The 26,117-nt window shown below is 37.7% G+C and overlaps 1 protein-coding gene and 1 long non-coding RNA gene across 11 annotated transcripts in view; one reads left to right on the top strand and one right to left on the bottom strand.

Annotated features, from left to right (window-relative positions):
• LOC101928861 (uncharacterized) lies at positions 1 to 24,396 on the bottom strand. The gene is made up of 4 exons (NR_120513.1): positions 23,992 to 24,396; positions 22,966 to 23,159; positions 21,666 to 21,887; positions 1 to 575 (listed from the first exon to the last, which is right to left on the bottom strand). It is a non-coding gene; the product is annotated as an uncharacterized LOC101928861 (long non-coding RNA).
• EXOC4 (exocyst complex component 4) overlaps positions 1 to 26,117 on the top strand; it is an 847,874-nt gene that overhangs the window by 547,415 nt on the left and 274,342 nt on the right. For all 10 annotated transcript variants that reach the window (XR_007060126.1, XR_007060125.1, XR_007060123.1 and 7 more), the window contains one exon: positions 16,833 to 17,052. Coding sequence is in view for 2 of the 10 variants with exons in the window: in NM_021807.4 (NP_068579.3) it covers positions 16,833 to 17,052 (220 nt within the window). In the remaining 8 variants the exon portion in view is untranslated. The remainder of the gene's footprint in view (positions 1 to 16,832; positions 17,053 to 26,117) is intronic.

Genomic DNA, 26,117 nt, shown 5'->3' on the forward strand with positions numbered 1-26,117 from the left:
AGTTTTCCAGTTTTGTTTTAATAACATTCCTTTTTTTGTCCTCATAAAGTAGTATTAAGTAATATCACATTATTAAGTAATATTTCTGCACTGAATTTTCAGTCCTCTGATGATAGGATTTTCTTTCTTTTGTTTCAAAAGTTGAAGCAATCTTAGGAACAATAGTCAAAAAGAATTCATTTAGGGAAACATTTCACAAAGATCCCCTGGTCATTGCTTTCAAAGTTTAGATGACCCAAGTAACAGACAGTGTTGACGTCTAGTCATAACTTCAGTGTGGGTAGGCAGGCATCTTCTGTTCTCCAATAACGATACTATAAAGTGTCAAGCATACATAAATTCTCAAATCTGAGCATGAGATACAAAATTTTTAAGATAATCTCATGCTTTTGTTCCATTCCAATGTTTTAACTTACATAAATTATCTTAGGGAATACAGTGGCTCAAGCTTGTGGTTGAAGTTGATCAAGCCCTTCTTTTGATGAGTAAATGAATAAAGGGATACCCATGTCTGCTCAGAACCATCTTTGGTCCGACCTTATGAATAGCACAGATACGTCCTCTATAATCGTGGCCTAAAGAAATAAGAAAAAAATTGTTAGTATCTCATTCTGTCACCTCCACTGAGGTGCCTATTACAGGATAATGAATTATATATTATCGGGAAACGAGCCATGTAGTCTAAGGGTAGGCAAAACATCTACAACCCTCAACTTTTAATTCATTTTCTCTCACTAATGGTCTCTTTTTATTCAGCATGCTATTGAGGATTTTCCTGATACCATGACAGAAGGAATGAAATCTACCTTCAATTATTTATGGTTTAAATGAATGCAAATAAGACTTTCTGGCTTGCTGTGCTGATACTCATTAATAAATATTTCACTGGGTATTAGGAAGATTCAGATTGACTAAATGAGGCTCTTCTTCAATATAAACGAAAGCCCTTGTGTTTTTCGCTACTGTGCAGGCCTAATTCTCGTGTCTGGCCTTCATTAAGGCAAATGAATGTTAGATGGGTGCATCAACACAGGGATGGATCCTGTGGGAACCTGAGTTGGCGGGGGGCTCTGCAGTGAAATAATCCTCTAGTTAAACCAAATTTAATCTCATTAGCAGGGTAATTGTGCTGTTAGGGGAAATGGCCAACCAGGTTACAGAGAAACCCACATAGTCTAATTATTCTTCGACTTCTGTCACTGAAGAACTCAGAGGCAAAAGATGCTCAGCCTACTATCGTGGTTAAGTCTTAGAAAAATCTCAGACCTTTCACAGTTGCCAGAACCTGTGTATGGCATTGATCATGTCCTACCCATTCTGGGATCCTTTCCTGTATAAATTAACACACCAATAATACAAGCTCCTGTCATGTTGCTCCTTTTTATATGTGCATTTTGCCCACCCACTTTTCCAACAAGGTTGGACTTTGCTAGTGTTTTAAAACTGTTCAGGATATAGTATTGCATCAGAAAGTTCTAAAACTACCAAAATATATAAAACTTAGTTATAAAAAATAAGCCTTTCCATATTTCTGCTCCTTGGGAAATTTTCTAGAATCTTTGAACCTGTGGACCATGTATTTTACATTCCTCTGGATTTACAGGCATTGTGGGCTTTGCCATTTTTAGGATGTGGTATAGAAGAAAGCATGGTGGACTAATTAGGAACCAGATCTGGCTTCAAGATACAGTCTGAAAGCTTGAGAATAGTGTGACCTTCAGCAAATTACTTACCTTTTCTGAACTGTAATTTCCTCACATGTAAAATGGAAATAATTATCACTGTCAAAACAGCCCCCAAAGCAGAATGAGGTTCAAGTATGTGAAAGTCTTTTGTAAGTGCTAACATGCACTATAGATATGAACAATAATCATGCATCCACTTGACTTATAAGACTTGGCATTCCTAGCTTCTAGGGCACAGCTTACATATGGTCAGTAAATGTTAATTGAATTAATTGCTTAGATATTTGGTAGGCTTACTGTCATGTTTCAGGTTGTTGCTGGAATCTTACATGAATAACTATTGCTGAGAATTTGTCAAAACCAAACAGTGAAATGGATGCTGCTCCATATTTTTTAATAGGCCGGGCGCAGTGGCTCACACCTGTAATTTCAGCACTTTGGGAGGCTGAGGCAGGCGGATCACCCAAGTTCAGGAGTTCAAGAGCAGCCTGCCCAACATGGCTACTAAAAATACAAAAAATTAGCCAGATGTGGTGGTGGAAGCCTGTAATCCCAGCTACTTGGGAGGCTGAGGCAGGAGTATTGCTTGGACCCGGGAGGCGGAGAGTTGCAGTGAGCCAAGATCATGCCACTGCACTCCAGCCTGGGCGACGAGCGAAACTCTGTCTCCACAAAAAAAAAAAAAAAAAAAGGAGAGAGAGAGAAAATACAGTGAATACCTCCTGTCCAAGAAGAACTTATTATATTGCTTCCAAAACAAGATATGCATGTGGGAAATGACAGAAAAAAAAACACTTCTAAAGACATTAATAAGTGTGAATGCATTGAAGTAATGAACTGAATACATAAATGGTAAATGCAAAACTAACTTTTGTGCTTGTGGTTATCATGCCTGTTGCCATAATTTTTTATTGTCAGCCTTATGACAATGAGCAATTTTATGAATACTATCATATTTAAAATAAACTGTGTTAGAACTGGCTGCCAACATGATGGCTGGAAATTTTTTCGCAAGTTTTATCTGAGCCAGAGTAGTTTTCTGAAATAATTTTTTCCATTAAGATGTATTTTGTATTTGTGTTATGATAAAGCATGTATTTCTTGAATTTTTCCATTACTTTGAAAACAGGAAACATTTCTCAGATGAAACCAGGGCTTATACTGGAGTTTTGTTGTTTTATTTTTTTAAATGTACAAACCATTTCTACAGGCTTTTTCTGTCTCTTGCTTGCATATTCAGCTGAGTATAACATACTGGGCAGAGTCACCTGATTGCAGACATTGACTCTTGCTTGGACAGCTGTTTTATCTTCTGTGAGTTTTAGGAATTTGTCATCAACATAATCCAAAAGAATATCAGTTCTGCAGGAACTGATAATATTGTAATCGAAATTCTTCTACAGAGTCTAGTTTTTCTTAGAAAATGATGCATATTGTATCATTTTAATGTCTATACAACTGATAGATATTCACTTGCAAGTAATCAGTTAGACAGGAAGACACCTTTTCTTTATTATCCTGTGTACAAATGTAATAATCTATACTTTTCTATATCTCAGATTTGTGAGCAGAATTTTTAACTCTGATTTAGCCTTACAGGGGATATGAAAACATAAATAAAATAGAAAGGTGGAAATACTAAAAGTCTTTAATTCCTATGTAATAAGTGGACCTATTTATGAAATTAACTATAAAGAATTTAACACAGATGCCTCTTGAAGGAACAAAGAACTGTAGGAATGGAATGGTAGCTCAGATGGCTTAAAATATTTAGTTTGGTTTACTGTTAGTTCACTTTTGATGTGAATTTGATGTTACTCCAACCCATTTTGTTATGTCGAAATCCTGATAATGTGATATATCAATAGATGACCCAAAGTGAGACTCTAAAAGGCAATACTGTCTTCCAAGTAGGAAAGGGCTCCAGAGGAGGTAACTTTGAGAACTTTGAACCACTGTAGAAAAATAACTTTGTGAATACCGTTGCAAGATAATTGTAGATACTGTTCAGGCAAAGTGTAGATGTGTGAACAGAGAAAGATACCAACAGTGATATGAGATTATCCTGGCTTACCTGAATTAATGATCAAGTGTGTGAATACAGGAAAACAAAAATAGAAAAGTTTAAGGGACAAGACTAATATCATAACTGTCTTTGCCTGTCTGTGACTCATATCATTAGTGGCTACTTTTTTCTTAGGGCACTGTGCATTCAGAACACTTTGCCAGTTAATCAAGTGATAGTAAACTTAAGAGTGTGATAAGAAATAATCATAAACTAAGTTCAGCAATAAGGGTGGTTGCCAGATAGGCCCATTAGAGATCATTCAAACTGAGTTTTCCAAAGTATTCATATATTAAATGTAATGAAATCCATCCTGTTGAAAAAGAGTGGAATAACCATGGAGCCAGTTTGTTTCTTCCAGACAATATATACTATAATTTTATTTCAGCAGGTACATAAGCCAGTCACATTTTTGACATATGAAATACTTCCAGTCTTTGACTTCTGTTATTCATACCTGAGTAATGTTCAGCTTAGGCCAGCTTCACTAAATTTCACGTTTGAGAAAAGGACTAGGTTTTGATTTGCTGATAGTTTGCCTTAAAAATTCCTCATTGATATGTTTAACATAGTACATGCATCCTTAACTTCACAACTTTCTTTTTTTCCTTTCACCATCTTTCTTCCTTATCTTGCTTAGCCAGCCGTATTTCTTTCCTAAAACATAGCCTTAAAATAATCTGTATATTGTATCCGCTTTAAGAAGGACTAGCCTTTAAAGACCAGCCTAAACAAGCTGTAAAAATAACTTAATATTATTTATTAAAACATTTATTAACTGTGTCCACTGTACTTGATGTAGTGTTAGGTGTTTCAGGTATAAATCAAAGATGTACAAAACGCAGTTGCTGCTCAGAAGGAACTTAATTCTAAAAGAGAAAAACAGGTAGAAAAAAAGACTAATGCTATGAAGTTAAATAGTTCAAATACATAAAGCGGTTTTAAAGGCATCTGGGAAAACTTTGTGAGTGACTTAGTTTTGAAGTGGTCCTTGAAGAAAGGCTATTGTGAAAATGATAAATTTTCAAAACTCCTCTTTAGCTGATTTGCCACAATTTAGAAAATGCAAGGGAACAGTAGAAATAGACCACATGATCATTATAAGAAAAGGCATGAACTTAAAAAAATACAGAGAGTACATGGAACTCAAAGTTTGCTAATGAGTAGAAGTAGAAATAATGTTAGACTTATTTCTTGAGTTTCTTACCTACTGGATACCAAACAATGTCTACATGAAAAAGACATGTTCCCTCTTTTCAAGATATTTTAAAACTAGTAGGGAAGACAGATACCTCCATAGCAGAATTCTGTGGACTCAGGGTGGTGTGGTGACATAGTAAAAGGGCATTCACCATACACGTAAGGGAGAAGGGCCTCTGGAGGAAGTGACATCTAAGCTAGTGGCCACAGGACAAGTGACAGTCAGGAAGGAGATAGGGGGACAGTGTTCTAAATAAACGAACCAGCTTGTACAGAGACTATGCTGGAGGCAAGAGAGAGCAAGGCATGTTTTATGAAACTGCAAGGAGTTCTAGATTCTTTGCTTTAATGAGATTAACCAAATAGTCATATATTTTATAAGTTGAAGGAAGAAGGGATGGAAGAAGGAAAAATCAGTTAGGAGATTATTTTAGGGAGGCCTGGGAAAAAGTTTTGCCCTATTTTAATTCTGTCTATTCACCTGCGTCATCTCATTTTGTAAGAACCTGAATTAGTATGTGAGTGTTACAAATGGAGGCACAGGAATGTCTGTCTGAGTTCAAGCATTAAACTACTTGAACACTATTCATAGCATGTGCTAAGTGGGTGATAGCTCCTGGGGCATAATTCTTTCACTGGGGGTGCCTTAGACCTGGAACACTAACATAGTGCCTACCTTTCAGCATAAGGAGTAATAAATAGTGAAGGGGTAAACAAGTAGATAAATGTATGAACTTAAGATTTAATATAAAGAGAATGTCTATACATCTAGAAGCTTCTTGCATGAGTAGCAAGGCTGAAGAAAAAGTGAAAGATGATTTTTAAGCTTGAGCTTAGGTAACTGGAATGATGATGACACAAAAATAGAGAACACAGGAGGAGAGAATTGAAATGATAATGGGAGTGCAGCAGCGAAGAGCTCCATGTTGGACATAGTTTGAGTTATCAGGAGGACATCATTTGAAAGTATCTATCAAGTGATTGGAAATGCAGGTCAGGAGCAAGAAGTCAGGGCTGGAGATAATATTTGTTGTATTTTTAGAGAAATAATTCAGTCTTTGATATATTCAAATGCTTATATTTAGTAATATTATGGTCCTCTCCATCCACACAATGTCCCAGTACCTCAGCACACACTTTAGGGTTTTCAGCATGGACTTAAGTCTATTGATTGTCATCCCCTTGCCTGCCCACCTCTGGAGTTCTAACCTTACGGGTGAACCTTTGAGAGGCTTTGATATTAAAGTATGTTGGATAGCGTGATGAAGTCTGGCATGGTCTCTGGAGACAAACTGTCCAAGGTCAAATTTTGGCCCCATCCCTTGCTAGCTGTATGACCTTGGGAAAGTAACTTTGCCTTTCTGTGCCTTCGTGTCTGCTTCCAAATGGCAATTATAAAAGTACCTAACTTCATAGTGTTATAAGGAATATGTGAAGCAAAGCATGGTGATTACTTAAAACAATGCTGGCCTATACAGTTGGCCCTCAGAAAACACTGGTTTGAACTGTGCAGGTCCACTTCTATGCTGATTTTCTTAAATAAATACGGTCGGCCCTCATATCGCAGGGCTCTGCATCCACAACCAAATGCAGATCGAAAATACAGCATTCACAGCATGTGAAATCGGAAGATATGGTGGGCCGACTTTTCATATACGCAGGTTCTGCAGGGCTGACTGCCGGACTGGAGTGTGCACAGACCCAGATGGTCTTGGAACCAGTCCCCCAGGGATACTGAAAGATGACTACAATAAGAACAATAAGAACTGTCAGCTGTTAATGTTACTGCCATTTTTTCAGCTGCCCAGTTTTATCACATGTAAAATGGAGATAGTAAAAGCACAGTCCTCATAGAGTGTCTGTGAAAGTCACATAAAAAAGAATCCATATAAAGCTCTTTGATCAGGACGTGGTAAGCGCTCCATGGGTTTAAGCAATTATTAATACAGCTCCTACTGGAATAGCAACAGGTAGAAAATTTGCCAGATTCTCCTGTGTCTTGCATTAGAGTCTCTGAAGGTCAAACTGATATGGGGCACCTAAAACAGAGTATATTTAATACGTGACACATAAGTTTCCAGGTGTATGATGGATATTTTGAATAAATTGCAGTTTTTCTTGGAAATTTTTCTGACAGCTTTATCTTCTGAAAAAAAAATAAAGAAAGAAAGAAGAGGGTATTTACCGTAAGATAAATTGAAAGGATAAAACCAGAATTCCAGACCTCTTGGAAAAGCAGGATTATTATTTTGTTCTCTGAGTTTTATGTCAGCATCCCTTATTTATTTATGCAATCTTTGGTTTAAAAAGATTGTTTGATATGAAGGGTTAGAGTTTAAGTCACTTCAATTTCCAAATTATATGCTTAAAAAATTTAACAGCTGTCGTTTTTAGAGAGGCTTACTTCATTTTACCTAAAGTGCTTTTCAGTCTAGAGGGAACACTTAACTGTAGTCACAAATCACTTGCAATATACTCATGGTAAGATTTTTTTAAGTTAAATTTGTTTATAAGCCTGCAGCGTCCAAATTTTGTAGATAATATTCTTTCTCCCTTTATTTAATGATTTTTACCTCTTTTCTCCTCTACTTCCAGACATGAATTGCACACATTACAAATAAGAGCACCCAAATCCCTTTTTATTTGATTAGTTCAGCAAATTGTCTCCTACGGGTATGGGCTGAGGACATGATTGGGCTCTGCAGTGATGAGCTTATTTTGTACTTTTACACAGAAAATCTTTATATACAAAAGGCACAGATAGTAGTTACACTCAGCATGAACAATTACAGCTTGTTGGGAGAGAACCTCTTCCTGATGTGCCAATGGCTTACTCCCATGAATTAAGAGGCAAACGTGCTCCAAAGTGCATTAACCTTTATGGATTTTTTTTCGGTTTTCATGTTCCACTGATTTATGGTCTTAAATATGCCTGTTGCTGCTGTTTCTGAATGAGTCCCTTGTAAATCATTTCTAAATGATCTTTTTCGACTCAGATAATACTAGTGAGTTGAATATATCTCAAATCAATTCCTCTGAGGCTTCTTTCCTTCTTTGCCTAAGTTGTTTTCCAGTTTGCTCTGTGTCTTAAAAGTCATACCTGAGAGCAGTTGAGAAAGTAAGAAATATATCTTAAAGGAGCCCTGTTTGCTGGGGGCGCCTTCTTTCTGCAGACTGAGTTGTTTCCAGCCTTTTGCATGGCCTCACTTGGGTTTGATTCCCAAAGCCCAATTGTCATCTGAGTATAGCTAACGGGTCATAGTTCTTTGTACAAGGATGGGCCCATGTCTGGGGGTGGATTTTATTATGAGTTGTAGGTTGATTTTTTTTTTTACATATAAATCTACCATGGTAGGGATTTTGAATATACTGTGTTCTCATAAATAGTCCATGATTTCCCTTAGAGTGGTGTGCAGAAAGTGTCATCAGAATGCAGGACTCTGTTATTAGTGCTGTTTGCCATCTTTGTACATGGGCCCATATCTCTCCTGAAAAGTTCTGCATTTGACAGTTAGTGTTTCATTCTCATTCTGGGTCCAAAGATTATTTCAGTTTGCTGGATTTAGGGTGTTTCATTCTCATTCTGGGTCCAAAGATTATTTCAGTTTGCTGGATTTAGGGGGAATGTGCATTTTATTTTCTCTTTGTAACTCATGTATCATTCATGCTACAGGCTTGTTTTTACTGTTGTTTGCATTCTTTACATAAAACCAAAACTCAAAATCAAAGGTACAGAATTCTGATGCAGATCTGTGGCTTTTGTAGCACACGTAATTCATTCATGATGGTGTCACAAACAGTATGTCACCGTTTATTGCCAATTAAAATTTTAATGCATGCTTTTATACACAATCTGTGTCATATAACAATATTAAATGTGACAGTAGAGGATTGGCACAATGAGGATGGGACCGTGTGGACTTACTTTTGATCATGCAAAGCTTCCGCAGACCTGTAAATGTCATGCAACTTTTCACATAGAAATCTTGGACTAAAATGGAGATGAAAGAGTTCAGATTCATTTTTTTAGTCTTTATTAATAGGAGAGATTCAGAGCTTCTCAGTAAGGATGGTACATCTCTGCAGAGTCAAGACTAGATTAGAAAACATGTAAGAGGAAATGATATGTTGAGAGATCCTGCAAAATGCAGAAGTCATAAAGGATAAATCACGCGTTTCTATTGGTTGTGATACATGGAATCAGCAGGAAAATTCCAAGACCTCCCAAATATCTATATTAATGTGTACGTTATTCATCCTAAACTACCAAATTATATGTAATGATATACAGCAAAGTCAGGAGATAGCAAAGTGAAAAGTTTATGTTGTATGATACAGAGCATATATAAATGTACACATTAAAAGACATAATTAGCAATAAACAGTGATTCACTGTTTGTGAAAGAGTCATGCATGAATTACTTGTGCTCTAAAACCAGAATCCTGAATTTGAATATTCTGAAATTTGTACCTTTGATTTTGTATTTTGGTTTCATGAAAAATGAATGATGTGCTCTCATGATTAGACTCAAGTTGCGCATTTTTAGCAAGAGTAACAGAAAACAATACTGTGTTCTTCTTTATATCATATCAGAAGGCACATGATGTCCATTTTGTCCCATTATTAGTGATGCTGGCCGTCGAATTTTAAAAGCTTTTTAGGATATGAATGTAAGGAATACTTATTTAATAAGCAATTATTTTTATTCAAATAAATAAAACATCACTGCTGTCATTGCAGCTTCTACAATACGATATAGGACCTCTCTGTTAAAGGATATTTCCAGCTGGTAGCAGCCACAATTCTTGGCTGAGATGAAATGGAAGAAATGGAGCTGTACAGTGAAACAGAATTTGTGATAAGGCTGGGCTAAGTGAGGGATGCTTGAGTGAAATTTTAATTAGTTTATAATTTCCCTTGATAGCAATCAAATCAAGATTAAAATTTTGAAAATATTGGGTGAAATGTTCATAGTGTGTCCTCATGTGTGCATTCCAAAGGACACATAACTTGCTGCAAGAAAGTAAATTCAACAACACAGGTATTGCATATGTACATACATTTAGAGGGCCTTTAGTTGAGAATCTGAAAAGGAAAGCTTCAATTAAATATTTATAAATGTTAGAATTTAGACGATAAGATCCATGCTTTGCTTTATTTTATTTTATTTTATTTTATTTTATTTTATTTTATTTTATTTTATTTTTTAGATGGAGTCTTGCTGTGTTGCCCAGGCTGGAGTGCAGTGGCACAATCTTGGCTCACTGCAACCTCCGCCTCCCAGGTTCAAGCAATTCTCCTGCTTGTTTCCCGAGTAGCTGGGTCTACAGGCACCCGCCACCATGCCCTGGGGCTAATTTTTTGTGTTTTTAGTGGAGACAGGGTTTTACCATGTTAGCCAGGATGGTCTCGATCTCCTGACCTCGTGATCTGCCTGCCTTGGCCTCTCAAAGTGCTGGGATTACAGGTATGAGCTACCGCGCCCGGCCAGATCCATGCTTTAAACATTTGAAAGCAATGAGAGTCAGTTGCGTACTCGCATTTTTTGTTTTTTTGTTTCTCCTACTTTACAACCTTAAGTTTAGGAGGCTGATCTGAATAAGGGTCCTCAAAATCCTGTGATGAGACGCTCCCCATACAGCATTATGTATACCCTTTTCTTTACTCTCATAGTCTCTTTTTCCATATACACAGATATACCTGTATGTTGTGTTTCCCTGCTCATCATTTACAGGGGATAGGAAACCCCTGGTATAAAAGTACTTCACGAGATTAAATAATACTCTTTTGACAGGGCTCCATCTGTGTTCTAACTTAACTTTGAAGTGAAGTATTTTCTTTTCTAATGAGATTCTTTTCACTGTTAAAAATTCAATGTTTTCATACTTCCATAGAGCTAATGAGGAGCATTGTTGGGAAAATTGGGCTTTTTGATTATTCTCTTCTATACCCTTGACTCTCACTCCTGTCTCCCATTCAACAGATCATTTTTAAATGCTTACTAGGTGAAAGGATCCATCCAGTACACTGTGGTAAATTGGGGAAAATAAAATAAAGACTCACCAAAAATGTTGAAGAGCTGCTTGCAATATTTTAATTTGTGGAAATAATTCAACAGAAGCAAAATGAAGATGTTCCCTAGTAGCTGTTTGGTTAATAAAACTGTTCATTAGCTTGGTAGAATGAATCTGTAATATTCTGTCAAAGAACAGAATACAAAGTAGTGTGAACAGCCATATTGCACAAAATATAAAACAGTGTGGGATGTGGATAAGAATGAGAGGATCCTCTGTCAATAAGAATTACTGGTTTACATTCGAATGGTGGAGATATGGGATGATTTTTTAAAAATTTTGTATTGAAATCTGTAGTCCAAACTCTTAGGAGAAGGGCATTACATGCCAGATAGATTATGTCCTAGTTTCAGGAACTATGGATTATGATCAAAGGACCTTTTAATTATTTTATCCAATATTTTATTCAATAAATATTTCCTACAAGTCTACTGTGTGCCAGTCATAGAGTAGCACTACTAGGCATGAAGGATTCAGCAGTTAGCAATTTACACTTTGCGCCTGGCCACGTGGGGTTTTTTGCTCATTCCTACATCCATTTATTAGTGAAATATTCCAAGTATTAACCTAATGTTCAGAATTGTCAACTAGGGATGATTAGATATGAAAATAAGGGAGCAAAGTGAAAAGTGAAAAAAAAAATCATACAATATTTCACACTTTCCTCTAATCTCCAGCCTCATCAGAGTTTATGTAAGATAGTAATTCTAAAAACCGCAGCAGCACCATTTACTAAGCAGTTACTGTGTGCCGGTCTCTGTTTTGAGTGCTTAATTTTCATTTCCTCATTAAACCATCAAAACAATCTTGTGAGGTAGGTAGTGTTATTGTAGCCATTTTACAGAAGACACAAGTAAAGCCAAGAGAGGCTAAGTAACCTGCTCGAGACTGTGCATTCCAGGTCCAAACTCTGGAAGCCCTACTGTAAGTGTTCCTCTCTTGACCACTCTCCTTCTCTAAGTCCCTCCCCTCTGCAGAGTGACACTGAGTGAGGTTCATCTCCTGGATGGCTAGGAAGGCTCATTTTCTGTGTCCTTCCTGCCCATGAAGGGTAGGTTGCCCATTTAATGTAACTACTTTTTTTCATTTTTCATTTTTATTTATTTTTAATTGAAAAATAGAAATTATATTCATTTATGATATACATGTTTTGAAATACATATACGTTGTGGGATGGCTACATTGAGCTAAGTAACATGTATTACTTCACATATTTATTTTTTGTGATGAGAACACATAAACTCTGCTCTCTTAGTGATTTCTAGTATCCACACATTGTTACTAACTATAGTCACCATGCCGTGTATTAGATCTCTTGATCTCTTGAATTTACCCCTCCCGGAAATTTTGTAACCTTTGACCAACATCTCCTCCCCTCCCCCATCCCTTAGCCCCCGTTCTATCCATTTTTCACTGAGGTAAAGAAACACTAAGGGACTGGCGAAACAGCCTTAATATTTCTCTTTCATTCTCACCCACATGTTTTGTGCTTCTGTACAGGGAGGTCCCTTGCCGCTCTGAAAGCAGATTTGGAAACATGTTGAATGAGTCCCCTCCAGTTAGGGCTGACAACGTCAACCTGTATGTGTCATGTGAGATGGATGTGTATGCTTTAAGGAAAAAATGATTTGAATTTGAAAGAAATCACTCAGCCAAAAGCGATGGGGGCCCCTTTGTCTGTGCTGCTCAGCACAGTTCATATTTTAGGTACACGAAAGGCAAATATGGGACTAGAAAGAAAGAAAATGAGGCTAATTTAGAGTCTTCTGCCCATCTGTTTATGAGCAGATTGACTAGTAAAAGTTTTGTTCTGATAAATGTTAAATATTTTGAAAATGTCAGAAGTATACTCAGAAAACTCTTTTCCAAAGTCCCTTTGAAGAAAATAGAGATTCTGATGATTAATTCTCATAATATTAAAAAATAATAAAAAGAGTTTCGGTGTATTTACTCATTAGCAAATTAATAACAGTGGTTTTCTTTTGGAAGGCAACCAAGTAGACTAGGATGCACCTGGGTAGAGTATCTTTTTGGGAGTTAGATGAGAACAGAAGGGGTCATCGCAGCAGGATGTGGTATTTGGAGATCTTCAAATTGTGGCCATGCTTAACCATCTACTTTTATTTCATTTTTCCCTGCCTTCTTTCACTCACCCTCTCTTTAAAGATCCATTATATTTTGGTTTTGGTCCTATTTTATTTTTCTTTCACATTGATAACATCAGTTAAGAAGCCTCAATGCTCTTTCTTGTGCCTTCTCAATTTCATCTTTCTTTGAAGGAAAGCTACTTTTTTCATTGTGATAATCCTATATATACACCATCTTCATCCCCCCACCACACATACACCCCAGGGGTTAATAGAGCGTTTAACTGGTAATATGTAAGGTTAACTGCAATGTATTGGTTTAGTAAGTAAAGAAAACTCTTTACTAGGTTAAACAGCTAAACTTAAGGAACTATTATACAGCAATTTATTAAATATAGTCTTTGATATGTGTAGGCAATTTTAAAATTTTCTAATTTAATGTTATTTGAGTAGCTAATACATTAACAGTTTTTAACAATCAAATGATTATTAAAAGTTATAATTCAAAAGTCTAATTTCTACTCCTCTCCCAGACCTGACCCCCACCCCTGCCTCCTATGGGTACTTAGTCGTTTTTTTGAGACTTCCCAGGATGTCTTTATGCTAAAATAAACAAATGGGTATATAATTGTTATATAGAGGTTAGTGTAGTAAATACTGCTAACCGTAGATTGATCTGAGCTTGCTTTTTTTCCTTGTAACAATATATCCTGGAGGTCTTTTCACATTAGTACATCAAAAGTTTCCACATTTGGGGGTAGAGGGAGCTGTACAGTATTCCAAAATGTAAATATCCCACAGTTTATTTATTCCCTAATTGATGAACTTTTAGGTTATTCCCAGTCTTTTGCCTAAAAACAATGCTGTAATGATCTATATACTCTGTATGTAGATGATCACATCCATATTTAGATATAGCTCTCAGAAGAATTTCCCAGGAGTGAGATTTCTGGGCGATAAAGAAATTCATCTGGCTTTTTGAATAATAGTGCCAACCTGCCTTCCATAAGGGTTGTACTATTTTTCACTCATGTCAGTAATATATGAGAATGCCTCTTTCTTCACACTTATAGCAACAGAGTGTGTTTTCAAACTTTTGGAACTTGGCCAATTGCATTGTTGTAAAAATTGGTATCTTAGTATAGTTTACTTTGCATTTTTCTTATGAATGAAAAATTTCTTCTAATGTTTAATGGTCATTGTATTGACTACAAATAGTCTTTTCATGTGTTTTGATAAATTTTTTTACTAAGTCATTTGGTTTTTTTTCTTGTTGAGTTCTAGCCATCATCTGTGATATAAATTGTAAATATATCTTCCCAGTTGGTTATTCATTTTATGTTTTCATTGATATTCTTCTCCTCTTTTTTGAGAAGAAATTGAAGTACAATACAGCTCTTCCTTTCCATAGCATTGTGGAACTGTAAAAATGACCATGCAAGCTGAAACCATGCAAAGCAATCTTAATCAATGAGGATAGTCACAATTATTTCATGACTTTAAAATTTTTTATCAAAACGTTAAAAACTTTTGGGAGGCCGAAGCGGGCAGATCACATGAGGCCAGCAGTTCAAGACCAGCCTGGCCAACATGGCAAAACTCCATCCCTACTAAAAATAGAAAAAAATTAGCTGGGCGTGGTGGTGCACACCTGTAATCCCAGATACTAGGGAGGCTGAGGCAGGAGAATCACTTGAACCCAGGAGGTGGAGGTGAGCCGAGATCGTACCACTGTACTCCATCCTGGGTGACGGAGTAAGACTGCTTCAAAAAAAAAAAAAAAAAGACAAAAACAAAAAACTCTATTCCTGGCATTTATAAATATATACAGAAATGAAAAATAAGAAAACTGATATGTATTTAGTACACTGTAACATTAGAAACATTGACAAAGTGTTTTATTTTTTGTTAAAATCTTATCAAGAGTAGTATAGCAGTGCTTGCCGCTGTCTTATATGCTTTGCAATATACAGCAAGCATCTTTTCTGGGTGAACTATCATACTTCTGAGTTTGGCTCGGTTGCCAGCATTTTATCCTTTATTTTTTCTGTGTTGTGAAATATCTCCAAGAGTTTTTTTAAGTGTGAAATTTGTTGCCAACATCACTTCCTCTGGCTTCTCATCTCTCTTCATCCTCTGCATCCCTTTGGTCACAACCACCTTCCTCATTTGTGCTGGCCTTCAGTCTGGCTATGCCTCTCCAATGGCAGCAGTGTCAACATTCCCAGGGTCAGCTCTTTCTCCTGTAACTCCGTTTACATTCAGTTCAAATTTCACTTCCAGTGTTATCACTTTGCGGTACTTTTATCTTTGTTGGCCAATTCCCTCTTTCATTGATCCATTTTTATAAAATGCCACATGGATTTATCAGTGGGGGACAGGGAGGCACCACAGCTGCTTGCTTTGCTCCCTGTCCATGAAGTGAATAACAAATGCACAGTGACCAGTTGCTAATAGACATTGGAAGAAGGGATGTGATTGGTCACTAATCATGATGAACACACATCAGTTATTTACACAGGGATTTCAGAGGAGCTACCAACAAAGTTTATACTTTAGTTACTTAAGTTTAATGTACTGTGGTGACTACACTGTGGTATTGAGGTATTTAAACTATGTAATTGATGGACTGATGTTATTTAACTAAAAAACAGTAGTAACTTCAATTTGTTCATATTAAACCACACAAATCAGGGCTGCCTGTATAGAAAATTAAAAAGAATTTAATAATAAATTTATTTTGTTATTAAAATAAGAATTTTAATAAATCTATACTCATCTCTGAGACTTGACAATCATTAACATTCTGTTATGTATTCTTTAAGGGTTTTTAATAGAGGAAGTAGATCATTGCAAGTAAGGTTGAAGTTCTCCTTTGTCCTCCAACTCCCATCCCATTCCCTTTCTTAACCTCTGAACTCACATATCATCATGAATTTTAGAGTATCCTTCATTCTCTCTCTGTTTCTCTCTTTTTGACATTTATATATATACATGTAAAGCAGCAATCCCCAACCTTTTTTGGCACAAGCACTGGCTTCATGGAAGACAATGTTTCCACGGACAAGGGTTGGGGGAAAGATGGTTTCGGAATGAAATTTCCACCACAGGTCAGATATTAGACTCTCATAAGGAACATGCAACCTAGATCCCTCACATGCACAGCTCACGGTAGGGTTCATGCTTCTATGACAATCTAATGTGATTGCTGATCTGACAGGAGGCGGAGCTCAGGTGGTAATGCTCGCCCAGCTGGCTGCTCACCACCTGCTGTGCGGTCTGGTTCCTAACAGGCCACAGACCCGTACTGGTTCATCGCCCGGTGTGGGGGTAGGGGGACCCCTGATGTAAAGGTTTCGGTGGGAAATATGTACTCTTCGGGGATGTGCTTTTTAATTTCACAATAATTTGTGTTTTTTGTTTTTCACATTTTCCCATTGTTTCTTGTAGTCTTATCTCCTTCTGGAATTAAAAATAATTTTTGTCTTCTCCTTTTCCCCCCATTTTTAGAAGTCATGTTTTCTGTTTCATCCTATTTCTATTCAATTAGTGGAGTAATTTAGATTTTTACAAGATTAAAAATTATATAGAGATGAGTATTATTGATGACCTGCCCTCTTCACAGAAATAGCCAACACTAGATATACTCATGTCCTCATGTCGTATTTATATAACATTTTCCTCATAAATTTAATAACCTTCTTACTGTTTGTCCTCCAGATTTATTCAGGAGATTGAGCATGCTCTGGGTCTTGGCCCAGCCAAACAGTGTCCTCTTCGAGAGTTTCTCACCGTGTACATCAAAAACATCTTTCTCAATCAAGTCTTGGCTGAGATCAACAAGGAGATTGAAGGAGTCACTAAAACATCTGACCCTTTGAAGATTCTGGCCAACGCAGACACCATGAAGGTGCTGGGAGTGCAGCGGCCTCTCCTACAGGTAATAATACACTTTGAACTTACTATTTTTATCAGCAATTTTCATTGACTTGGCAAGTGTCATAAATTTAAAAAAGAAGAATTACCATCTGTTTCCATATTCATCAGGGACAAAACAAAAGAAAATAAATAGGCACTAGGGAAATTTAGATTTAATGTAGTTGGATAATGGAAGTTCCTTAAGATCTTTAAGGAAAATTAAAAAAAAAAACGGTTAGCTTTGGATATGAGAGATGGTGAATCTCATTAACATGCAGGCAGTTCCTCATTATTATGCCTGGAATTGGTCCTTGAAAGGAACTATTTTTCCATTGGTGAATGCATCCCTGAGTATGAAGGATTAACAGGAAGGAAGCTATGATGCCCAACTTCAATTACCAGCAGGAAACCCTCTATACCTTTTAGGGGCAGACTTACCTTTCAATGACTTGGCTACCTCACAGGGAATTTGAACCAGTAAACTGACCTTTAAAAGTCAAATCACTGAATTCACATGATGATCTTGTTAGTACTGAAAATTTTACTTTATATAAAAAAATGGTTTCTTAGCATCAGAAAAAATAAAATAATCTGTCAGTAGATTTTTTGATTAATAGGCTTGAGGCATATATTTTATATACATTTTAGCTGGTGACTTGGAGGTATATATAAAACTAAAACAAAATTAGTAGGAGTTTAAATTATAGGTATACATTAACTATTATTACGTTGGAATTGAATCCTTATTGTGTTTCTTCATTTAAGAGTAGGATGGGCACAGTCTCACACTTTTACCTAAATTGTACAATATGAGACTATTCAACATGTGGAAGGCTTGAGCTTTTCAAAGAGAAGTTGTATATATGGAAGGGAGTTTTACTTGTTCCAGTTGCCTGCCCTTACCTGCCTTTACATATGTTTCCCTTGATTTTTCTTTGTATGTTAGAATTTACAGAAGTGCTGGACCTTTCTTAGAGAAGCGTCCTAGTTATGAGCATTCTTTTTTATGAGCAAGCTCTTTTATGATATTGATAAAATAGAATAGGAAGATGTTCATTTGGATGGTCTGGGTCTCTGTTAGCCATGTGCCTGGTGAGGGATCTGTACTGAGTGTTGGGTGCAGAGAAGGGGGAATGCCAAAGGAACGTGCTTGCTCTTCCTTCTGCTGGATATCTCTTCCGGCTCTTTGCATGGCTGGGGTCTTCTCCTCTCTGGGTGTCACTTAAAATGTCATGTCCACTGGAAGGCTTTTCCTGACTGTCCTACCTAATTAGGTCCCCTTTCCTGGTTATTCTCCATTCTCCCATTTTTCCTTACCACCAGCCCCATCCATTGTCAATACTGAGGCCAAACCCTATGGACTGTGTCTGTGGACTGTGTCATGGAGGCCCCCTTGCCAGGTAGCTTCTGATCAGGTTCTGCCGATAGGCAGCACAAGTAGAAGATTGGAAAGTGGGAGGAGAAAGAGGGTGGGTGATTTCTTCTCCCCTTCCTCTTCACTTTGGATCATGGCCCTGGCTGTGAGTGCCTCCCTCCATAACAGGAGATCCTGCCAGGTGACACATCCTCCATAGCTCCAGCTCTCACTGGACTCTGGCAATGTCATTTCTTCTCCTTGCCTCTTGATTTCAGCTTTCTGCTGTTACAACCTCTGGATGCCTCAGTATCCCTTGTTCCTGCTTTCAACCCTGCCCATACCTCTGTAAGTTATTTCTTCATTCATATTTCTTTATTTGAATTATCTAAATGGAATACTTTTTTTTTTTTTGTCAAGATCCCAGATAGATCTCCCCAGTTAATCAGGATTTTAACACTTTGGTTTTTTCTTCCTAACACTTATCACAACCCTAATTATTAATTAATTTTGCTAACTTGTATATTTTCTATCCTTTCCCACTAGAAGGTAAGTTCCAAACACATATTATAATGTCAGGCAGCAGGAAGGTGCTCAATGAATAACTTACTGGATGAATGCATGTTGCATGGATGGATGGATGGATGGATGGATGGATACAGTGAATAAGTTTCGAGAGTCATAAGTACCCACAGAGTCAGAATAAGGAGATGAGAAATAGAGAGTAACAAAAATATGTTTACTTTTATGTGTTGTCTGACCATATCATTAGCCTCATTTCCATCAGAAAGCCTTTCAGTATTTATTTCTCTGAAGTGTCACGCTATATGCCATACAGAGCAACTTGAACATGTTTAGTGCACTGAATTTAAAAGGAAAAAAAAGGCATCAGTACATTACAGAGTGAGTCTGTGAACCAATAATACTGGCTTATTAAATGTGATAATTTGCAGCTTCAGTAGCAAAGATGCATTAAAATCATAACTCATTGATCTGGGCCATGTCAAGGCCATATGCTACCAACAAAATGACATATCTGGGCAGTCTGTCCATGTGCCTGTCAGATCACTCCCAACCTCATCACCGCCATTTTGTACATGTTACTGTGCCTCTTGTCCTTTAAGTCACCGTGAGGCTAGGTAAGAACTCCAGCTTTACCTGTTCTCTCTTTGACCTTGTCAACATATAATTATATATAAGTGAATAAGTCTTGAGGCTAAGACCATTCAAGCTATTAACCTGCAAATTTTTTTTTCTAGAGTTAACACACCTGCTTCATTTTTTTTTTTTTTTTTTTTTTTGGTGATTATGTTGCTCTCCTTTTTTTCATTAAAAAAATTTATTTTATGAAAATGCAAATTATTTAAACCATATCACTAAGTTTGTTTAATATTCTCAGAGAGAGTTATGCAGTTTAAAAAGCAAACAAGGAGATGGTTATTTTTTTTTCCTATCTTTGGTATTTTCCTGCATTATAGTGATTGTAAATTGTTTTCTAATAATTCCCCATACTCAAGCTTCATTCTTTTTTTGTCTTCCTCTACAAGCACAGGGTGAATTTTATTCTTGAATTTTTTCTATGTTTCCTTAATATTTTATTCCCAGCTAATTGTAGGTGGCTAATCTGAAAAAAGAATAAGAAATAATTCTCAAAAATTTTAGCTGAGAATCCAAAACAAATGTTAAGAAGGAGCTTGGAGAAATATGTGTGTGCGTGAAAGATGCATGTGGGTTAAATATTCAATTACAGGAAGTATAAAAATGTCCTTTAAAATTCTTCCCTTTGCTAAACTGTTGTTTGGTCACAGAGTAGAAGAGAGGACATGCCTTTCCCTGTGGCAACACCCAGTGTCACACAGCATCAGCCCAGCCGGATTCTCCAGGGAGGGTGGGAGGACAGCTGTCTCAGTGATGCTTCCAGTTGTTTGATAACGGACAGACACGGTGCCTAGGAGCCCTGTGAAGAGAACCCCAGGACACTTTGTCCTTGTCCCTCTGAAGTGGCATCTGGGCAGTACAGACACTTGGATTATTAGAGGCATTTCCATGGGTGCCAACATGTGTTCTCAGTGATTTCACTTTCTAGGCACAGGTTCCATAGGAGGGAAGGAAGGAAGTCAGTAGGAAGGAAGAGATGACAATCAGCATTTTATACCTAAAACACTGTGCAAGTGTTAGCCCAAGCTGATACAGCAGAGTAACACTAGTGGTAATAATAGAAGAAGTAAAAACAGTAATGATAGCAGTTATAATAGTAGATAGTAGTAATGATAGCAGCTAACACTTTAGTAGCATTTACTGTGAGTCAGACACTATTCTGGGTGCTTTGTCTGTATTGATTGCAAGTGTTTAAAATGTATGGCAACTCTGAGTGGTATTCTTTTTATGAGGAAGAAACTGAGAAACAATGAAATTAAATAACTTGCCCACAGTCACATAGCTGCCAAGTAGTAGAACTGTAATGCAAACCCAGGCGATGCAACCCTGGAGTCAGTGCTCCCAGCCAGTTCTACCCAAAGTGGATTCTGAGGATTATGCTTGTCTGCAAGCTGTTTGTCACCAGTCTGCTATGAGACGTAGAGAATTTAGGAGTGAGCATTTAGACAATTTTTTTTAGCATTTTGACATTGTCTGTTGAATCCAGTAATAAAAAATTGGGCCTCATGTTTTGTATATCTTTGTGGGTTTTAACATTTCTTTTTTCTAGCAATTCATTTTTATGTTTTATAAAAGTATCAATGTGCAACTGATTGGGGATAAAAACTGGGCTCTCCATAGTTAGAGAAGAACTGTCTAAATCCCTTACTTTTCGGTACTGCCTCACAGAGAGGTAAAGCACAGAACCATCACTTTTACCCCAGTGCCTAAAGCATTTTTCAATAGATAGATAGAAAAGTGCAGATATGTGTTACAGTTGGGTCTCTCCTAAATCCCCAGCTCCTAGAATAGTGTCTGCCATAGAGGAAACACTCAATATTTAATAAATGGATGAATGAATGAGTGAATGAAAATGAATGAATGAATGATGACTTCCTTAGTACCAGGACATGGCTGTGTTTTCTGCGCATGGTATAAAACTCATGGTCTTGGGTTTAAGATAGTTAATGGTGCTAAAATTAAAATGTCACAGTTCTTATGCCTCTAATGCTCCCAGGATGACAGCAGGATTGGATACATCTCATGGTCTTACCATTTGAGATCCCTCTGTTGCCATCACTTTTTCTGCAGAATGGCCTCCACCTGTTGCAAGGAAAGCATGTTGATTCAAACTAAGGAAATACCTGAAGAGAAATTATTCATTTCTCCTGAGTCAGATTCTGAACACGGAGTTCTGGAAACAGTCCATTGAAGTGGATACCATCTCATGCTTTATATATCTCCCAGAGTACAAATTATTCATTCCTTAAACATGAGGAGACAGACGGAACTGATTCAGTTCATTTCCCTGGTTTACCATTGATTTGGAGATGCCATTTAATTTATTTCTTCTTTGGTGTCTCCATCTGAAAAAAAGAGCGAGGGGACTAATGCTTAAGGTTTTTGACCCCTTACCCATCAAATTGCTGAATAGGCAACTATCTATGTGAACAAATGGTACAAGCAAACTTTCTTCCTCTATCACCAATGGAATATGCCATACCCTTGCTACTTAGAGAGTGTTCTGTGGCCAAGAGCATCAACCTCTGATGAGTCTGCATTTGTATAGAATCTCCAGATGATTTGTATATACATTAGAGTTTGAGCAGCATTGCCTTATACCAGTGCAAAAGCAAGTGTGGCCCATGGACCGGGAGCATCAGTGTGGCCTGGGAGCTTATGAGAAATGCAGATTCCTGAACCTCACTCCACTCTGGAAATCTCTGTTCACACCAGCCCTCTAAGTGATTTTGGTACTCGCTAAAGTTTAAGAAGCATACTCTTAACATAACGTCGTCATGATACCCAGCGTGAAGTTAGGAAACGGGATCTAATGTTGTGGGGTTTTAGCTTTGTGGTGAACAACAGTAGTCATTTTTTAAAAAGTATTCAGCTTTGTTTCATGCAGGCCCAGGAATTGTAAAAACAATATTTGCTGCAGCAGCAGAAGCTGCTTCCTAGTCTAGCACATTGATTTTGCAAAGTTGTTTCCAAGTACAGGATGAGCCTACATTTTCTGGCTCATGCAGGGCAATGTGAGACAGAGGCAGCTTTTCTAATGCTCAGGCTTAAACTCCCACATCACTGGAGGAACAAACATAAGCTGTGCAAGTACAAATTCTGGGCAATCTTGAAATGTTTAGAGCATATTTTCATTTTCCTCTCTGCCCCAGTATTTGTCAGAGTAACTTTTGAGAAGTGAAATGGCTAGAATCCGCCTGCAAACACCACACTGTCATCTCTTCCTCTGCCAGCTGCACTTTCCACTTATATCTGCAGACTTAGAGCAGTGATTCTCACCAACGCTACCCATTAGAATCACCCAGGAACTTCCTAAAAATACCACTTCCCAGGTCCCATTGGTTGCTCAGGGGTGGGGCGTGCTTGGGCATCAGTGTTTGGTATGATGCCCAGATGATCCCAACATGCAGCCAGAATTTGTACCTCTGTCCTTGATCTTTCTACTCCATCGTATCAGTTATTGCTGGCAGAGAGAGTACATCAAAAATTATTGTTGAAGGCTGGGCATGGTGGCTCACACCTGTAATCCCATCACTTTGGGAGGCCGAGGCGGATGGATCACTTGAGGTCAGCAGTTCAAGAGCAGCCTGGCCAACATGGTGAAACCCTGTCTATAACTAAAAATACAAAAATTAGCCAGGTGTGGTGGTAAGTACCTGTAGTCTCAGCTACTTGAGAGACTGAGGCAGGAGAATGGCTTGAACCCGGGAGCTGGAGGTTGTAGTGAGCCAAGATAGCGCCACTGCACTCTAGCCTGGGCAGTAAAGCAAGACTGTCTCAAAAATACATACATATATATATATATATATTATATATATATATATATATATATATATATTATATATATATATATATATATTTTATATATATATATATAAATATATATATAAATTATATATATATTATATATATAGTTGAGGCTTTATTTAATGCAGCCAGGTTTGTAAAAGACTGCTGTGTTGGATACTTTGAACCAAGCCTTGTACATAAGCCTTGGAATCAGACACAAATGGATTTAAATCTCAGCCATTTCATTTGATAGCTTTGTGGCTGTCACCAAATTGCTTAACTTCTCTGTACCTATTTCTTCCCCTATAAAATGGGAATCATAGAATCTGTGTCACAGCAACACTCCAGTGATTAAATGGAGTAATGGGTGTAAAACATGCCCTCTCCTTCCTACCCCGGGTCACCTGTGAGCAGGTCTCTGCGTTGACTGCTTTGATGTGTTACCTGCCTGGCCCTTAACGCCTGCCTTCCTTCCTGAACTCTACTGACTGCGCCCCAACCCCTGCCCTCTCTGCCCACATTTTCAACCTGCGTCTTCTTCTCATCACCAGCTTGCTGTTTACGCACCTTCTGTTCTTTCTACTCTAGCACCCAGCTGGTAACTTCCCTTTCCTGCCTTCTACTACCCTGGTGTGACAGCAAGAGATGATATTGTTTCACCTGCTTTCTCCTTTTCCTGGAGTTTGTCAGCTGGCCATTTATTAGCAGCAGAAGCAGCGTGCAGTATTTTTGTCCATTAAAGCTAGGGGATTAGTTTCCTAGGGCTGCCATGATAAATTACCGTAAACTTAGTGCCTTAAAACAACACAAATGTACTCTTGCATAGTTTTGGAGGCCAGGAGCCACATTCCCTCCAAAGCTCTGGAGGACGATCCTTCCTTGACTCTTTCAGCTTCTGGTGGCTCCCGTGGATTTTTGGCTCTGGCAGCGTAACTGCAATCTCTGTCTCTATCGTAACGTGGCGTTCTCCCGTGTGTCTCCTATGTTTTCTTTTCTGGCTCTTGTAAGGATACTTTCATTGGATTTAGGGTTTGTCTTAATCCAGGACGATCTCATCTCAATCCTTACCTTAATTACATCTAAAAAGATTTCCAAGTTAAGTCACATTCTGAAGTTCCGTGTAGAATTTTGGAGGGAGACACTATTCAGTCCACTACAACTCATAACTAGAATGCAATCGATTCAGTTTGCTATGTTTTCCTTGACGACTCTCTGGCAGGAAGCAGTGTGGAAGTATTGCCATTGGCTAGTCTGGGTGGTACACACCTGTAATCTCAATACTTTGGGAGGCCAAGGTGGGGGTATTGCTTGAGGCCAGGAATTCGAGACCAGCCTAGGCAACATAGCAAGCAACTGTCTCTAAAAAAAAAAAAAGAAAGAAAGAAAAAAAGCCAGGTTTCATGATGTATGCCTGTAGTCCCAGCTACTCGGGAGGCTGAGGCAGGAGGGTTGGATCACTTAAGCTCAGGAGTTTCAGGTTGCAGTGAGCAATGATCATGCCACTGCACTGCAGCCTGAATGATAGAGTGAGACTCTGTCTCTAAAAATAAATAAATAAATAAATAGGTATTCTGTTAAGGCAGTAGGCCCAGGATGGTCTAAATTCTAGATGTCAACAAGGTTCAAAGTGAAAGTTTTTGGTAGGCTGAGTGATTGCTGGAGCTCTTACTGAAAGTTGGTGGACACAGCTACTTACAGTATAATAATTTGCTAGAGATAATTATACTGCTGCCCAAACCTATTATCTCCCCAGCCAAGCTAAGGCACTGCCAGTAACTTCTTCTGGTTTCCCGAGGAAGTGTGGCCAGCAGCAGTAGCGTATTGTTTTCATCATATCACATTATGTTCATATGAAGAATGTTGCATTTGAGTGGCATTTGCATCACAGCCAGTTGTTGCCCTTCCACTCTGGTAGAGAATAGATTCAGCTTTTATTAGTGTAAATAGATTAGTCCCATTTAAGGTCTGCTGGAAGTCATTATGAAAATCATTAGGTTGAAAAGAGAACTGATCAATTGATTTTTTTTCCCCCTGTAAGCTCTGAGAGATGGTGCTAATGGTCTCACTGTGCTAAAATAAGTCTTAGAACCAAGATGCCTTGGGGTCTAATCTGATTCTTCAGTATTTATCGATACCTAAAGAAACATTAACTTATCACTCATAGTTTTGATTTTCTTTGCATTTTACTCTTGTTATTTTATTTATTCACTAACAGTATTATTTTGCCTCTTCATGTCAAGAATAATGACTTGTGGCTACCTAAGACTTTATTGAGGAAGATGGAGTGGAAGATGCCTGTGTTCTTGTCTTTGTTTAGATTGTCCAGCACTCACCTGTTCACTTCCAAGATACCAGAGCAAATTAAATTTTTTATTGCTAATAGAGACTTTTGGGATCTGATAACATTCGTCCATGTTTTCAGATCATTTTTATCAAGTTGTGTTACTTATGTATTGTTAATTCTATTACTTATTTAGTACATTTTAATTTTGTAGTTTTGTTGTGATTCTTCATAGCCATCTTTGAAAGTGCTTACTGCTACATTTCATCATGGTGAGGTGGGAAATGCATATAAAACATAGATTTGGTCTCCATAATCATCAGCTCAGTGACCTTAGACAAGTCCAAGCTACTTGTCTTGTCTGAGCTTCCCCTCTCTCATGTATAAAATGAGAATGACACTTGCCCAGACTTCCTCCAAAGACTAGGATGAGAAGTACTATGGTATCATGGATTCAGTAGGGCTTTATGAAGTCTTCTACATATTGATCTGTTTCATAATTATT

Source organism: Homo sapiens, chromosome 7, assembly GCF_000001405.40.
Source record: "Homo sapiens chromosome 7, GRCh38.p14 Primary Assembly".
NCBI lineage: Eukaryota > Metazoa > Chordata > Mammalia > Primates > Hominidae > Homo > Homo sapiens.